Below are 17,224 nucleotides of genomic sequence, written 5' to 3'. Positions count from 1 at the left end.
GCATGTGCCACCACACCTGGCTAATTTTGTAGTTTTAGTAGAGATGGGGTTTCACCATATTGGCCAGGCTGGTCTTGAACTCTTGACTTAGGTGATCCACCCACCTTGGCCTCCCAAAGTCCTGGGATTACAGGTGTGAGCCACCGTGCCTGGCCAAGTGGTATTTTATTGTATAAATGTGCCTCAGTTTGTTTAACTGTTCATCTGTTGAAGGATATCTAGCATGTTTCCAGTTTTTGGCTAATAGTAATAAAGCTTCAGTGAACTGTTGTATATGAGTTTTCTTTGGAAACATAATTTTTATTTTTCTGAGATAAATGCCCAAGGGTACAATTGCTGGGTCATATATAGTGGCATATTTAGATGTTTAGTTTTATAAGAAACTGCCTGCTATAGACTGAATGTTTATGTCACCCCAAGTTTATATGTTAAAACCTAATTCCCAATGTGATGGTATTTGACAATGGGCCTTTGGGAGGTGGTTATGTCATGAAAGCAGAACTCTAATGAATGGGATTAGTGCCCTTGTAAAAGAAACCCCAGAGAGCTCCCTTATCCCTTCTGCCATATGATGAAACAGTGAGAAGACAGCTAGCTATGAACCAGGAAGCTGCTTATTAGACACTAAATCTGCTGCTGGCTTCATCTTGGATTTCCCAGCCTTCAGAAGTGTGAGAAATAAATGGTAAAGTCACCCAGTCTATGATATTTTTGTTAACAGCAGTCTGAGCTAAGATACCCAAACTATTTTATGAGTGGGTATACCATTTACATTCCTACTAACAATTTCCCATCTGTATGCCTTTTATTTCTTTTTCTTATCTTATGGAAGTGGCCAGAAATTCCAGTATGATGTTGAACAAGATTGATGAATGGATATCTTTGTCATGTTCCTGACCTTACAGAAACAGCATTCCATTTTCACCATTAGTACGATGTTAGCTGCAGGTTTTTTTGTTAATGCTCTTTATCAAGTTATGGTAGTTCTCTGTTCTACATTGCTAAGAGTTTTAGTTATGAATGGATATTGGGTTTTGGCAAAAGGTTTTCCTGCTTCAATGGATATGATTTTATGATTTTTCTTCTTGAGCTTATTCATATGGTAAATTACACTGATTGATTGTTGAATGTTGAACCAACTTTACAAACCTGGAAAAAAATCTCACTTGGTTGTGGCATATAATTTTTAAAAATACATTGTTGGATTTAATTTGCTAATGTTTTGAGGGTTGTTTTCTGTATGATCTTCATCTGATTTTGGTTTGGGGCAATATTGGCTGCTTGAGAAGTGTTTCCTAGTCTTCTATTTTCTGGAAAGAATCATGTAATAATTGGTGTTAATTCTTTAAAGTTCAGTAGAATTCTTCAATGAAACCATCTGGGCCTGGAGAGTTCTTTTTTATTAATTAAAGATTCCATTCTAAAAATAGTTATGAGGCTATTCTCAGATTATCTATTTTGTCTTGAGTTTAAAGAAAATTTGTGGGTTTTGATAAATTGGTCTATTTTTTCTAAACAGTCAAATTTGTGAGCATAAAGTTGTTCATATTTTTTCCTTATTTTTTGTGGTGATACTAGAATCTATAGTGAGATTCCCCCGTTTTATTCCTCATATTGATGATTTGTATCTTCTCTTTGTCAGTCTTGCTAGATGGCTTATTAATTTTCATGATGTGTTGAAGAGCCAGCTTTTAATTTTATTGATTTTTTTATTTTTCCATTTTTCAATTTCTTTAATTTCTGCTCGTAACTTTATTACTTTCTTGTTTTTGTTTGCTTTGGGCTTATTTTTCTCTTTCTCCCCTAGTTTCTTGGGATAGGAACTTTGATTATTGATTTGAGACCTTTTCTTTTTTCTAATGTAGGCACGTAGTGCTAAAAATTCCTTTCAGCATTTCTTTAGCCATATCCCACCCATTTTTATATTTTATATTTTCATTTCCATTCAGTTCTGTTTTTTAAAAAAATTATTTTATGACTTTTTTGACCCATACTTTATTTAGAAGTCTATTATTTAATTTCTAATTATTTAGAGACTTTCTTGTTCTCCCTCTGTTATTGATTTCCAGTTTGATTCCAGTATTGTCAGGAACACAGTCTATGTAATTTCACTTTTTGGTAGTTCTATATCCTTACTGATATTCTGTCTTGTAGTTCTGTTTTTTTTTAATTTTCTTTTATTATACTTTAAGTTCTAGAGTACATGTGCACAACTTGCAGGTTTGCTACATATGTATACATGTGCCATGTTGGTGTGCTGCACCCATTAACTCGTCATTTACATTAGGTATATCTCCTAATGCTATCCCTCCCCCTTCCCCCCAACCCCACAACAGGCCCTGGTGTGTGATGTTCCCCTTCCTGTGTCCAGGTGTTCTCATTGTTCAGTTCCCACCTATGAGTGAGAACATGTGGTGTTTGGTTTTTTGTCCTTGCGATAGTTTGCTGAGAATGATGGTTTCCAACTTCATCCATGTCCCTACAAAGGACATGAACTCATCATTTTTTATGGCTGCATGGTATTCCATGGTGTATATGTGCCACATTTGCTTAATCCAGTCTATCATTGTTGGACATTTGGGTTGGTTCCAAGTCTTTGCTATTGTGAATAGTGCCGCAATAAACATACATGTGCATGTGTTTTTATAGCAGCATGATTTATAATCCTTTGGGTATATACCCAGTAATGGGATTGCTGGGTCAAATGGTATTTCTAGTTCTAGATCCCTGAGGAATCGCCACACTGACTTCCACAATGGTGGAACTAGTTTACAGTCCCACCAACAGTGTAAAAGTGTTCCTATTTCTCCACATCCTCTCCAGCACCTGTTGTTTCCTGACTTTTTAATGATTGCCATTCTGACTGGTGTGAGATGTTATCTCATTGTGGTTTTGATTTGCAGTTCTCTGATGGCCAGTGATGATGAACATTTTTTCATGTGTCTGTTGGCTGCATAAAAGTCTTCTTTTGAGAAGTGTCTGTTCATATCCTTTGCCCACTTTTTGATGGGGTTTTTTTTTTTTTTTCTTGTAAATTTGTTTGAGTTCTTTGTAGATTCCGGATATTAGCCCTTTGTCAGACGAGTAGGTTGCAAAAATTTTCTCCCATTCTGTAGGTTGCCTGTTCACTCTGATGGTAGTTTCTTTTGCTGTGCAGAAACTCTTTAGTTTAATGAGATCCCATTTGTCCATTTTGGCTTTTGTTGCCATTGCTTTTGGTGTTTTAGACATGAAGTCCTTGCCCATGCCTATGTCCTGAATGATATTGTCTAGGTTTTCTTCTAGGGTTTTTATGGTTTTAGGTCTAACATTTAAGTCTTTAATCCATCTTGAATTAATTTTTGTATAAGGTGTAAGGAAGGGATCCAGTTTCAGCTTTCTATATATGGCTAGCCAGTTTTCCCAGCATCATTTGTTAAACAGGGACTCCTTTCCCCATTTCTTGTTTTTCTCAGGTTTGTCAAAGATCAGGTAGTTGTAGATGTGTGGTATTATTTCTGAGGGTTCTGTTCTGTTCCATTGGTCTATTTCTCTGTTTTGGTACCAGTACCATGCTGTTTTGGTTACTGTAGCCTTATAGTATAGTTTGAAGTCAGGTAGCATGATGCCTCCAGCTTTGTTCTTTTGGCTTAGGATTGACTTGGCAATGCGGGCTCTTTTTTGGTTCCATATGAACTTTAAAGTAGTTCTTGTGCCATGGTTTTCAGCTCCATCAGGTCCTTTAAGGACTTCTCTGCATTGATTATTCTAGTTAGCCATTCATCTAGTCTTTTTTCAAGGTTTTTAACTTCTTTGCAATGGGTTTGAACTTCCTCCTTTAGCCTGGAGAAGTCTGATCATCTGAAGCCTTCTTCTCTCAGCTCATCAAAGTCATTCTCCGTCCAGCTTTGTTCCATTGCTGGTGAGGAGCTGCGTTCCTTTGGAGGAGGAGAGGTGTTCTGATTTTTAGAATTTTGTTTTTCTGTTCTGTTTCTTCCCCATCTTTGTGGTTTTATCTACCTTTGGTCTTTGATGATGGTGACATACAGATGGCGTTTTGGTGTGGATATCCTTTCTGTTTGTTAGTTTAACAGTCAGGACCCTCAGCTGCAGGTCTGTTGGAGTTTGCTGGAGGTCCACTCCAGACCCTGTTTGCCTGGGTATCAGCAGCAGAGGCTGCAGAACAGTGAATATTGCTGAACAGCAAATGTTGCTGTCTGATCGTTTCTCTGGAGGTTTCGTCTCAGAGGGGTACCCGGCTGTGTGAGGTGTCAGTCTTCCCCTACTCGGGGGGTGCCTCCCATATAGGCTACTCAGGGGTCAGGGACCCACTTAAGGAGGCAGTCTGTCCGTTCTCAGATCTCAAACTCCGTGCTGGGAGAACCACTACTCTCTTCAAAGCTGTCAGACAGGGACATTTAAGTCTGCAGAGGTTTCTGCTGCCTTTTGTTTGTCTATGCCCTGCCCCCAGAGGTGGAGTCTACAGAGGCAGGCAGGCCTCCTTGAGCTGTGGTGGGCTCCACCCAGTTCGAGCTTCCTGGCAGCTTTGTTTACCTACTCAAGCCTCAGCAATGGCGGGCGCCCCTCCCCCAGCCTCGCTGCCACCTTGCAGTTTGATCTCAGACTGCTGTGCTAGCAATAAGCAAGGCTCCATGGGTGTGGGACCCTCTGAGCCAGGCGCAGGATATGATCTCCTGGTGTGCCGTTTGCTAAGACCATTGGAGAAGCACAATATTAGGGTGGGAGTGACCCGATTTTCCAGGTGCCGTCTGTCACAGCTTTGCTTGGCTATGAATGGGAATTCCCTGACCCCTTGTGCTTCCCAGGTGAGGCGATGCCTCGCTCTGCTTCAGCTCGCGTTTGATGTGCTGCACCCACTGTCCGACAAGCCCCAGTGAGATGAACCCAGTACCTCAGTTGGAAATGCAGAAATCACCTGTCTTCTGCGTCGCTCACGCTGGGAGCTGTAGACTGGAACTGTTCCTATTTGGCCATCTTGGAACCCTGTAGTTCTGTTATGAGTTGCTGAGATAGAACTTCAACTGCAAGGTGGCTTTTGAGTTCCCAAATTTTAATTGTGGATTTGTCTATTTCTCCCTTCATTTATTTCAGTTTTTGCTTCTGAAAATGTTTTGAGACTCTGTTGTTTGAAGCCTACATACTTGAGATTGTATCTTCATGGTGAATTGATTACTTTATCATTTTGTAATGTGTGACTTTATCACCAGTAATTTTCTTTGCCCTGTAGTCCACTTTTTCTGAAATATTAGCATTCTTGCTTTCTTTTTGGATAAATAGTTGCATGATACATTTTTTGCAAACTTGTATTTTCAGTCTACCTATGTCATTGAATTTGAAGTTAATTCTTGTAAACATCATATAGTTGGATCATATTTTATTTTTCCACTTTGCCAATCTGTTTTTTAATTGGTGTATTTAGACCATTACAGTTATGGCAATTATTAATATGTTATGGTTTTCCTGCCATTTTATTGTTTTCTCTTTGTTTCTTCTGTGTCTTATTCCTCTGTTTCTGTTTTCTTCCATTTCTGTGGGTTACTTGAATATTTTTAGGATTTCCTGTTGATTTATTTATAGCACCAGTCCCCACCCTTTTTTTGGCACCAGGGACCAGTTTTGTGGACAACAATTTTTCCACAGACAGGGGAAGGGCGGATGGTTTCAGGATGAAACTGTTTCACCTTAGATCATCAGGCATTAGATTATCATAAAGAGCACGCAACCTAGGTCCCTCACATGCTCAGTTCTCAATAGGGTTCAGGCTCCTATGAGACTGTAATGTGTGGCAGATCTGACAGGAGGCAGAGCTCAGGTGGTAATGCTCGCTTGCCTGCCGCCCAACTCCTTCTGTGTGGCCTGGTTCCTAACAGGCTACAGGACCCCTGATTTATAGTGTTTTTCAGTGTATTGCTTTGTATAATTTTCTTAGTGATTGCTTTGTGTATTAAAATACACATATGTGACTCATGATAGTCTGCTAGTATCGATATTTCACCACTTTTGTGGAAACTTTACTTTTATTTAAGTTCCTTTACTCTTTCCACTTTTAAATATCATTGTCTTTACTATCAGATGGTTTATAATTTGTTTTAATTATTGCATATATTATAAAGAACTGATGAGAAGAATTTACTCATATTTCTGCTCTTTCCATTGCTGTTTATTCTTTACTAATAGCCCCAAAAGTCCTTTGGACAATTGCAGACACCTATGTAACTTACACTCACCTCAGAATGTAGAATATTTTCATCAAAGAAATGTCCTCTGGTTCTTCCCACCCCAGAGACAATTGCTATTCTTATTTCTACACTGTGGACTAGGTTTTATCTGTTGTAGAACCTCATATAAATGCAATCCTACAGCATGTAGACTTTTGTATCTGGATTCTTTCACTTGACATAAAGATCTTGAGTTTAGTCTGTATTGTTGCATGTTTTAGTAGTTTGCTCATTTTAATTGCTGAATAATATTTCATGGTATGAATATATCACAATTGGTTTGTCCATTCTCCTGTCGGTGGACATTTCTTTTTTTTTTCTCAACTTTTGGTTATCATAAATAAAGCCACTATAACATTTGTGTACAAGACTTCTTGTGTGTTTTTTTTTTTAGTAAATATCTAACACTGGTATTCTACCCCCTCTTCCCCATTGTTGGATTCCTAGCTATTTCATTGCTCCAAAAGTTACAAGATGATTTGGGAAGAATTATTCTCCTCTCAACAATGTTGGAGTACTTTAATTAAATGCTCATAGAAGGTAAATTTACTTTTTTCTTCAGTTTTCTATTATGGTGAAATTTACATATCATAAAATTTACCATGTTGACCATTTTTTAATTGTATAGTTCAGTGAGATTAAGTACATCTATATTGTGCAACCATCACCACAATCCATTTCCAGAGCTCTTTTCATCTTATAAAACTAAAACTCTATACCTACTAAGCAATGACTCCCCATTCCCTTTCCCCTAAGCCCCTGGCAGCCACCATTCTACTTTCCATCTCAGTGATTTTCACTACTGTAAGTAGCTCATGTAAGTGGAATTGTATGATTCCACTTGTCTTTTTGTGACTGGTTAATTTCACTTAGTACAATGTCTTCAAGGCTCATCCCTATTGTTGCATATGTCAGAATTTCTGTCCCTTTTAAAGCTGAATAATATTCCATTGCAGGTATATATAATATTTTGCTTACCTATTCATCTGTCGATGGACACAGTTCCCTCTGTGTTTTAGCAATTATGAAAAATGCTGCTGTGAACATGGTTGTACAATTATCTTTTCAGGACTTGGCTTTCAATTCTTTTGAATATATGCCTAGAAGTAGAATTGCTATATCATATGATAATTGTATTTTTAAGTTTTTGAGGAACCACTATTCTGCTTTCCACAGTGATTGTATCATTTTACATTCCCCCCAACAGTGCACTGGGCTCCGATGTCTGCAAATCCTGGCAAAAACTTACTTTCTGTTTTTACATTTAAATTTCAGATTTTTTATGGTAGCCATCCTAATGGGTGTTAGGTGCGCATTGTGATTTTTGATTTGCATTTCCCTGATAATTAGTGACATTGAGCATCTTTTTACGTGCTTATAAATTTTGCTTTGAATGATGCACACATTTTAGTCAATCTTCATTTATTCTGTTCTTTTTTTCTTGAACTTATCTTCAGTGATTGACCCTGTAGGGTTGCTTCAAAATTACTCCTCCAAAATTATAGTTTCTGAGGAATTAATGAGTGTTTTCATACTGAGTCAGAACACTTTGACATGTTCACTTGAGGACTTTTGTCTTTTCTGCTTATCAACTACTTAGTCTTTCTAAGCCTCCATTTTCTCATCTGCAAAATGGATACATAATAATGGTGCCTTTTCTCATTGGGTTGTTCTGATAATTAAATAAGATAATTTATGTTAAAAACTTAACATAGTGACAGGGATATAGTAATCGATCAACAAATGTTAGCTGTTATTATGTTATTTTATTGTTGAGATTTCTGTCATTGCTCTATGCTGTGTCTTCTAATACTTTATGCACTTTCTGTCTGGAGCTACTAATTATCCCTAGAGTTAGTGTTCCCTGTTGGCACTAGGGGAAGTGTTTTTGTATCTCCTTTTGCTCATTGACCCCAGGCTCAATGATCCCAGGGGTGACTCCGACACCTGCCTCCAGAAGAAGGAAGCGTGTAGCTTCTCAGTGTGCAGATATAAGGGTCCTGTACAGGGCAGGAACAGTGACATCTCCTCATGCCACCAGCTTTCTCTTTTCTTTTCATTCTTCTTTCCTCAGAATAAGCAAAGTGAGTTTTTTTTCAGCTCTTCCCTACCATTTTCTCAATCCTTCAGCTGATATTGTGATACAGTAGGTGAGTTTAAGAGCATTGGTGGTGGCAGAGGGAGGGATTGGCAGGTGTGTGTGTGTGTGTGAGTGAGAGAGAGAGAGAGAGAGTGTGTGTTTGTGTATTTAGGGGTATCTGTAAAGGACAAAGGCTGCAGTTGTGAAGAAAGAAATGGGTATGTGGGAGAAAGATAAGGGGTCAGTGAGACAAAGGATGAGAGAGGGATTGCAGCATGACAGCATAGAGTGGGGAGTGTGGGCATTGGGAGATACATCAGTGGGTTTAGGCGGTAAACACTGATGAGAGATAGGAATAGGAACGCAGAGAGGGGCAAGGAAAAGCACCAGGAGCACATGAGAAAGAGAAAACTTCCTGTTTAAGGGTTTCAGGGCAGTTTTTAGAGCCATCAGAATCAGACTATACCAGGGAAGGGTATATTAGTGGGTGCTATTCATGAAAATGGCTTGGGTTTTGATCAACACCTTGTTTTGGGGAAATAAGCAAAGCTACTGGAGAAAGATTAATTCACTAATTCCATGGCTTATTTTTTTCAAATATTTCCTAAGAACCTACAATGTGTCAGGCTCTGTACTTAGTGCTATGAGCTCCTCAGTCCCAAAGTCTTAAGGAAACTTTCTTTTGGTAATCTTGGTGTCAGTTGTGTCTAAACTTGAAAAATCCTCTTTTTTCTGTTTTTTGTTTTTGTTTTTTTTTTCAGTTTTTTGTTTTGTTTTGTTTTTTTTGTCCTGCATCTTGTAGAACAGATATAGACATTGGGAAGGAAGAGGTGGTGCTTTGGGGCTGGGGTTCTCCACATTTTTGCTACTACATCACAAGAACATAGAAGATATTTACACATGATACATCACCATATGCTTACTCAAGCTTGGCAAAATACCCAAAATGTTTATAGATAGTAAAACAAATGGATAGGTGGGAATTTTTCTCAAGATGTTTATTCATTACAAAAGTAAATCATGCTGGTTGCCAGAGGCTTGAGATTCAGGGGTGATTAGAGAGATGTTGGTCAAATGAAAAAACAATACAATTAGGAGGAATACGTTTAAAAAATCTATTGAACATCATGCTGACTATAGTTAATAACAATATATTATATACTTGAAAATTGCTGAGAGTAGATTTTAAATGTTTTAACAACAAAAAATAAATATGTGAGGTAATAAGCATGAATTGGCTTGATTTAGCCATTCCACAATGTATACATTTATCAAAACATCATGTTGTACAACATAAATGTATACCATTTTTATTCGTCAGCTAAAAAATAAGTAATTAAAAAACCATGAGTTACTGTTAAGGGTTGTCTGAATTAAGGGAATTTTAGTGCCTCTGCATCATGGATAGCACTGGCTTTAGATTATGAAAACATCTTCTTACATGCTAGCTTTAAGTGCACATGGGCAAGAGTGAGCTTATTAAAGGTATACATCTGAATTTTCCCCAATATATTAGAAGGGTAAATAATTTATAAATTTTGAGACCTTATATGTTATTAGAAACAAATTTCTTATGACACTTATTATAACAAAGCCTGCAATATATTGTGCTGCAAACAGAGACCAGTCTTACAAGCAGAGGACAGTGGGGTAGTGAGGTTTGCAGCTGTTTTATCCATTAGGGACATGGCTTTAGTGTACAGAGACTGTGCATTTTGAAGAACCTAAGACTTGTGAAAAATACTTGACATCTAAAATGCACATAACAAGGAAAATGGCAAAGTGAAATTAATACTTGTATAAATAAATATCTAGATAATACAACTCGGCAAAAAGGTAACTCAACTCCTGTATAGTTACCTAAAAATTATATCACATGTGGTTTGTGAACACATTTGAATACATTGTTATGATGGAAGGAGAGTCTTCTGAATTGAGATTGCATAAAGACATAAAAGACCTTTATATAACCCCCTAAAGAGGAAACAGTTATTACCAAAAAATAGAGCTGGTTAGGAAGTCTGGTCAGGAGCTGCAGAGAAGTGGGCTCCATTTCGCCTTTAAAGTGTGGACCAAATCTTCTCTATAATTCCCACTTCCAAATCTCCTCAGTTCTGCAGTTGAAGCTGACTCCCATTGTTCTGTGATGTTCCTGAGGCTTCTGTAAATGATGGAGATAATTTCTCTTTGTGTTGAGACAGGTGGATGTTTTTCAGAGCATTTACAGGAAGACTGCCAGGTAGTCCTCACCCAAGCTAAGTCCATCAGTAGTGGATATGCCTGGTGCACCACCCAAAGCCCTTGGGTCTGGTTTTTGAGACACCAGGTTTATCTGAGAGATCTGGTCTCAGGCTATTTTCCTTTCATTGGGCACTTCCTTCATTCCTTTTCCTCCTCTTTCTTCCTGAGAAAGGAGTTTCCTTTGGTCATATTTGGATGAAGAATAAGACTTTAATGTTGCTAAATATTCATTAAGGTGTTTTGCCTACTGGAAAAAATACAAGAGAATGATGGCCAAACAGAGGTAATAATGATGATGATGATGATGATATAAACAAGAATAGTAACCTACTTTTCTGAGCACTCAATACAAACTTATTTAATCCCCACAATTACCACATGAAGTTTTTTTTGGTATCCACATCCTTTTTTTTTTTTTTTTTTTTTTTTTTATATCAGGGATTCTTTTTTTTTTTTTATTTTTTTTAATTTTTTTTTTAATTTTTTTTTTTATTATACTCTAAGTTTTAGGGTACATGTGCACATTGTGCAGGTTAGTTACATATGTATACATGTGCCATGCTGGTGCGCTGCACCCACTAACGTGTCATCTAGCATTAGGTATATCTCCCAATGCTATCCCTCCCCCCTCCCCAGGTATCCACATCTTACAAATAAAAAAACTGAGGCATGCAGAAGTAAAGTGACTTGCCCAAGATCTAGTTAGTTAGGGAAGAACTGGGAAATGAATGCAGAAAGTCTGGCTCCGGAACTTAATATCTACACCTTCTTTGTTGTGTTCTTTCCCAGCTAGCTTGGCTCCTGCTCCATCTCTACTATTCTGGCTCTTTTTTTTCTCGCTCAGCTGGATGTTCTCTTGGGAGCTCTGGGAGGTACTTCTGGGAGACGTTGGATATTCCTCTTTTTGCCTGTGAGTTTCCTTTCTTCTCACCCTTAACTCTTTCCTAAATGAGGCTCGAACGCTCCAAAGGTGCTTGACAGAGGAGCAGCAGGGCTTTGATGGAGCTCTAAGACGCCACTGGATAAAATGAAAGTCCTTCTTTCCATGGGCAGTAACCTCCTTTCCAGGACCTCATTAACAGCCATCTAGGCCTCATTGCCCCTCTCTCCACCCTGCCTTTGGTACTCACTGTTGGAGTGATAAAACATCACAGAGTCATAAGCAGAGAGCAGACTTGTTTTGATGAGGACGTATATCAGGTGTCTTACTGTTTTATTGAGAAGGAGTATGTTAATAACTGGAGGGGTTGGGAAAGTTGTGAGAAAATAAATGTCCAATAAATTTCCTCCTAAGGAAAATGAATTTGTTTTTTTTGCTGGGGCTTTTGCTTGTATAAATTTGAGTTCAATACTTTAAAATAGAGCCAGAGCAGTGCTACTAATGACTTCTTCTCTGTGCTCATTCCAGCAAAGCTCAGCCTCTCTTCTAAGTAGAAGTTGAACATACATATATACACACGCACATATATATATACATATATGTGTACATATAATATGTATTTTATATATATACATATATGTATATATATATATTTTAAAGAGACAGAGTCTTGCTCCATCACCTAGGCTGGAGTGCAGTGGTGCCATCATAGCTCATTCACTGCAGCCCCAAACTCCTGGGCTCAAGAGATCCTCCTGCCTCCGCCTCCAAGTAGCTGGGACTACAGGTGCGTGCCACCATTCCCGGCTAATTTTTAAATTGTTTTGTAGCGACAGGGTCTTGTTATGTTACCTAGGCAGGTCTTGAATACCTGGCCTCAAGCGATCCTCCCATCTTGGCCTCCCAAACTTCTGGGATTATAGGCATGAGACACTGTGCCTGGCCCAAATATTTAAAATATACTGACTTGAATGCTGTCAGATTATTAGCCTGCCTGCGGCCTTTACTTGTCTGGATCTGGCTCTATTCCCTTCCTTGTACCCATCTGGAGTCCCATTGCTCCCTCCCCACAGCCCACTGTGCTCTGAGAAAGTTCATTTGCATAGAGGCAGAGGGATGGACTAATAAACTGAGGATTTGATTCCTTTGCATCTCTTCTTTGGGGCCCTCTGAATACCATTATCAGAAGATCAGTCTAGTGTTTATTTGGTACCTTTATAGTTCTGATTCTCTCTTTACTGTCTCTGTGGTCCCTTTTCTTCATGTTCCCTTCTAGATTCTTAATCATACACTCTTTCCCTAGTCCTAATAGCTGACAGATAGTTCAGAACTTCAGAATGAAACAAATATTACCTGAGTGGCAGGCAAGCCAAGAAGGGCTCTATACTTAATCCTTCTTGGCAGCAGGGAAACATGGTTCCTTCTGAGCGTTGGGGAACAGTGGGGTGGGAAGAAGGGCAGTATTAGTGGAGTCAGCAGAGTTTACAGGTGGGCAATAGATTGATTTCTTTTGCTCAGAATCGTTTTCCTGGGGGGCTTCTACAGATAAGGAAGCCCAGACATAACCAAGAGGCTCCTGTATAGAAATATTTGAGGAGGAGCATGAGAAGTCCATGAGGAGCTGGTGATGAAAATTGCCTGTCTCAGTTTCATTGGCTGCCCCATTGCTCACTGCATTAGGGAAGATATGAATCTGGATCAGAGTGGAGAAATGTACCCCTCTAGGCTTCCTCTGGATTCCCACTTGATACTCTACTCCCTTGCACAAGGGGCCAGAGGTGCAAGTGTCCTGTGAAATGTTCAAGGCAATAGCCAGATAAACTTAATAGGATTAAATATAACCCAGTTAAAATATAGTTTAGTTAATAGTTTTTTAGGAAGGAGATATATTGCTATGAACACAGACCATTACAAAGTGGTATGTCTTGAGGACTTATTTTAAGGTTAAAATTTTGTTAAACAGAAGTAGAAGGGGAGGGAAATTAAAGGTAAATGCAGAACAAAATCTTGGGGAAAGGGACAAGTACAACACAGGTAGGTGGAAAATGCTGCTTGTGTGGAAATAGTAGAATGAGGTCAGAAAGGGAGAGTGAGGCCAAACTCTGGGGGCAGGGTGGTTGCAGGAAGGTGCTGCCACTTCTGTTCATACTTGAAGCATTATTGCCACAGAAGCTCTATCTGCAAAGGAAGCACTATGGGCCAGAAGCCATTCCTATACCAAGTGAACATTCTCTGGGAGTACTTGCTGCTGGAGAGTCCAGCAATTTAGAAATCCATGCTGTCTTTTATGATATTTATACATATTCGGGAGTGCTTTCTGTTTCTATCACTTTCAGTAGACTCATCAGCTTCTAAGTCATTATAGAGAGGACCATAAAGTGCATCATGAGTCACACCAATGTTACCATCTTCCATCCTGCAGTTTTTGTCCTTCCTGGCATCCCTGGGTTGGAGGCTTATCACATTTGGCTGTCAATACCTCTTTGCCTCATTTACATCACTGCAGTCCTGGGAAACAGCATCCTGATAGTGGTTATTGTCATGGAACGTAACCTTCATGTGCCCATGTATTTCTTCCTCTCAATGCTGGCCGTCATGGACATCCTGCTGTCTACCACCACTGTGCCCAAGGCCCTAGCCATCTTTTGGCTTCAAGCACATAACATTGCTTTTGATGCCTGTGTCACCCAAGGCTTCTTTGTCCATATGATGTTTGTGGGGGAGTCAGCTATCCTGTTAGCCATGGCCTTTGATCGCTTTGTGGCCATTTGTGCCCCACTGAGATATACAACAGTGCTAACATGGCCTGTTGTGGGGAGGATTGCTCTGGCCGTCATCACCCGAAGCTTCTGCATCATCTTCCCAGTCATATTCTTGCTGAAGCGGCTGCCCTTCTGCCTAACCAACATTGTTCCTCACTCCTACTGTGAGCATATTGGAGTGGCTCGTTTAGCCTGTGCTGACATCACTGTTAACATTTGGTATGGCTTCTCAGTGCCCATTGTCATGGTCATCTTGGATGTTATCCTCATCGCTGTGTCTTACTCACTGATCCTCCGAGCAGTGTTTCGTTTGCCCTCCCAGGATGCTCGGCACAAGGCCCTCAGCACTTGTGGCTCCCACCTCTGTGTCATCCTTATGTTTTATGTTCCATCCTTCTTTACCTTATTGACCCATCATTTTGGGCGTAATATTCCTCAACATGTCCATATCTTGCTGGCCAATCTTTATGTGGCAGTGCCACCAATGCTGAACCCCATTGTCTATGGTGTGAAGACTAAGCAGATACGTGAGGGTGTAGCCCACCGGTTCTTTGACATCAAGACTTGGTGCTGTACCTCCCCTCTGGGCTCATGAATCTTCATGTCCAGCTCCTTCAAGGAAGCTAGATGTGAAATACAGAGATTTCCTGGACTGAGAAGGCTTTTCTTCCTCTTCTTTCTATTTCATCTTCCGCCCCCAACTTTTCTTTCTTTTCTCATAATTCTTCCTCCTTCTCTTGTTTGTTTTCTCTAACCTCTTTACATATTCCTCCCTACAACCCAGAAATAATAACTAAGTGTACATGCCTCTGATATGAGGCTTTGGTACCCTCAGTAGACTAGATAGACGCCAGAAGCGCAGGGATCTGAACACCACATGAAATGAGGTTATAAAGAAGTGGATAAAAATAATTTTATATTTACCATTTTAAGGGGTTTTAATTTTTTAAAAAAATCCCAAATGTGCATTGATTCTTTGTACAGAATCAAGTGGCCTGCCACCCACTACCACAATGGCAGGTGAGTTTGAGGAACAGCCATGCATGACCTTTGGTCATCTGGAAAAACTTCCTTTCCTTCAAATTTTAGTTCAAGAAAAGTTGAGTCTTTTCTAATTTCTCCAGGCAAGCCAAGGGTCCTATGTTTGCATGTCTAGTGTATCTTGTACAAATCTCCAAATGTGCATAATAAATTGTAATGTAATGAGTTGTTCATTTATTTGTACCCTCAATTGACTGCAAACTCCTTGAAATCAGAAGAGTGTATATTATTCATATTTGTATCCCCAATGCATTACAAAATGCCTGACACATACTACATTTTTGAAAAATGAATGGGAGCGCAATTATCTCCTTGAGATCAGAACAGGCATCTCTATGGTACACTGAAATGACCAGCTAAATTATTTCACAAAACCAGTGATTAGTAAATCAGCTCCTCATGAAGGCAGTTTGGCATAATTGAGCCAAATCAACTGCTGATTTGCAGTACTTCTCTCTGCTGTAACTCAGGGACCAGCGAAAAGACAAAGTAGGAGGAAACAGGGTACTCTTGATTCTCTCTTATATCTAGTTTTTGACCAGACCCAGAATTAGGAATTATAGTACATTGTTCATGGCCAGGTTGGCAAAATTGGAGTACTCTCTTGGGATTCACAGTCTCAACTCTTATTCTTTTATGCTTTTCCAGAAAAGGTCATGTACACTCATTTCTTTAGCCACCACCAACACTAATGAGTCCCATATCCCTGTCTCTAGTCTAAAGCTCTCTTTTGAGTGTTAGACACATAAATCCACCTATTAACTGGTTATTCTTCCTAGGATGTAGAACTCCCACTCCACTTTTCTTCCTACATTTCATTTCTTGGGAACTAGATTATGATGATCCCATCAACTTCACTGAGCTGGAAACCCTATAGTCTTTTTCAACTTTCTCCTCTTAGGGCTGATACTCAAAAAGTTATTGGTTGATATTTATATTGATTGTACCACTAAATAAGTATATGGATAGTATTTGGACTCATATCAGGACTCAAGTCTTGTCATCATCATTTTCTAGCTATGCGAACTTGCACAGTTTGTTTAACATTTTTGGTTCTCAATTTTTAAATCTATAAAATGGGTACTTTATAGGTTACCTTCACAGGGTTATTTAGAAGATTAAATGAAATAAACCTTATGACTATACTTAACATAATCTTTAGCTCATAGTTTCTGAGAAATATTTTGTTAATACTTACTAGTATTGTTAGTCTTTTCAACACTGCCTATACAAATTACTTATGACTTTTCTCATCTTTCACTTCAGATATTGCATTACTTTCTTAGCTGAGATCAATGTTTTCAATCTTTTACGCATTAGCCTAAACTATGAAATGACTCTACATTAAATTTTCTAAAAGACAGAGCTTATCAAGGCACTTTCTGTCAAATACTTTGGAGGGTTTTTCATTAATTACAGAGAGTTTTCCACAGAATATTCTGTAGCAGTAGATATCAGATATAAATAAATGTTTTATTAAAAAGTTTCATGGTCAGATAATTGTGGAAAATGCTGATATTCTGTGAGTCATGCACATGGCTGTCCAAGAGAAAGTTAGAGTCAGCAGTGTTCCCCACACTTCTGTGACCGTAGATATCTATATCAATGTCCACATAATTTTGGCATAATTTTGATAAGCATATAAATTTACATCTGTAAAATAAACTAGTGTTCCATTAGACATAGTTTGGAAATCACAGGACTACATAGTAAGTTCTAAGCTAAGCATTAATTTAATAATCTTGTCCTAACTTATTTTCCATCTCTATCACAAAACATACTACATAATAACACAAAATATTAACATGATAATATTAATGATAACAATATTACAATAACAGCTGTTTATTTTATTTAAAAAAAATTAAATCACCTTAAGCATTTATATTTTGACAAACGATCCAATTATACTCTTTTATTTATTTACTTTTTGAGACAGAGTCTTGCTCTGTCACTGAGGCTGGAGTGCAGTGTTGTGATCTCGGCTCACTGCAACCTTTAC

The 17,224-nt window shown here is 38.7% G+C and overlaps 1 protein-coding gene across 1 annotated transcript; it reads left to right on the top strand.

The window, feature by feature from the left end:
- The first annotated feature begins 13,804 nt into the window (after nt 1-13,804).
- On the top strand, nt 13,805-14,776 carry OR52B2 (olfactory receptor family 52 subfamily B member 2). Its single transcript, NM_001004052.1, has one exon. It carries the CDS (start codon nt 13,805-13,807, stop codon nt 14,774-14,776), a length of 972 nt encoding a protein of 323 aa, NP_001004052.1.
- The last annotated feature ends 2,448 nt before the right edge of the window (nt 14,777-17,224 follow it).

Source organism: Homo sapiens, chromosome 11 (assembly GCF_000001405.40).
Source record: "Homo sapiens chromosome 11, GRCh38.p14 Primary Assembly".
NCBI lineage: Eukaryota > Metazoa > Chordata > Mammalia > Primates > Hominidae > Homo > Homo sapiens.
This window is presented reverse-complemented; position numbering and strand designations above follow the sequence as displayed.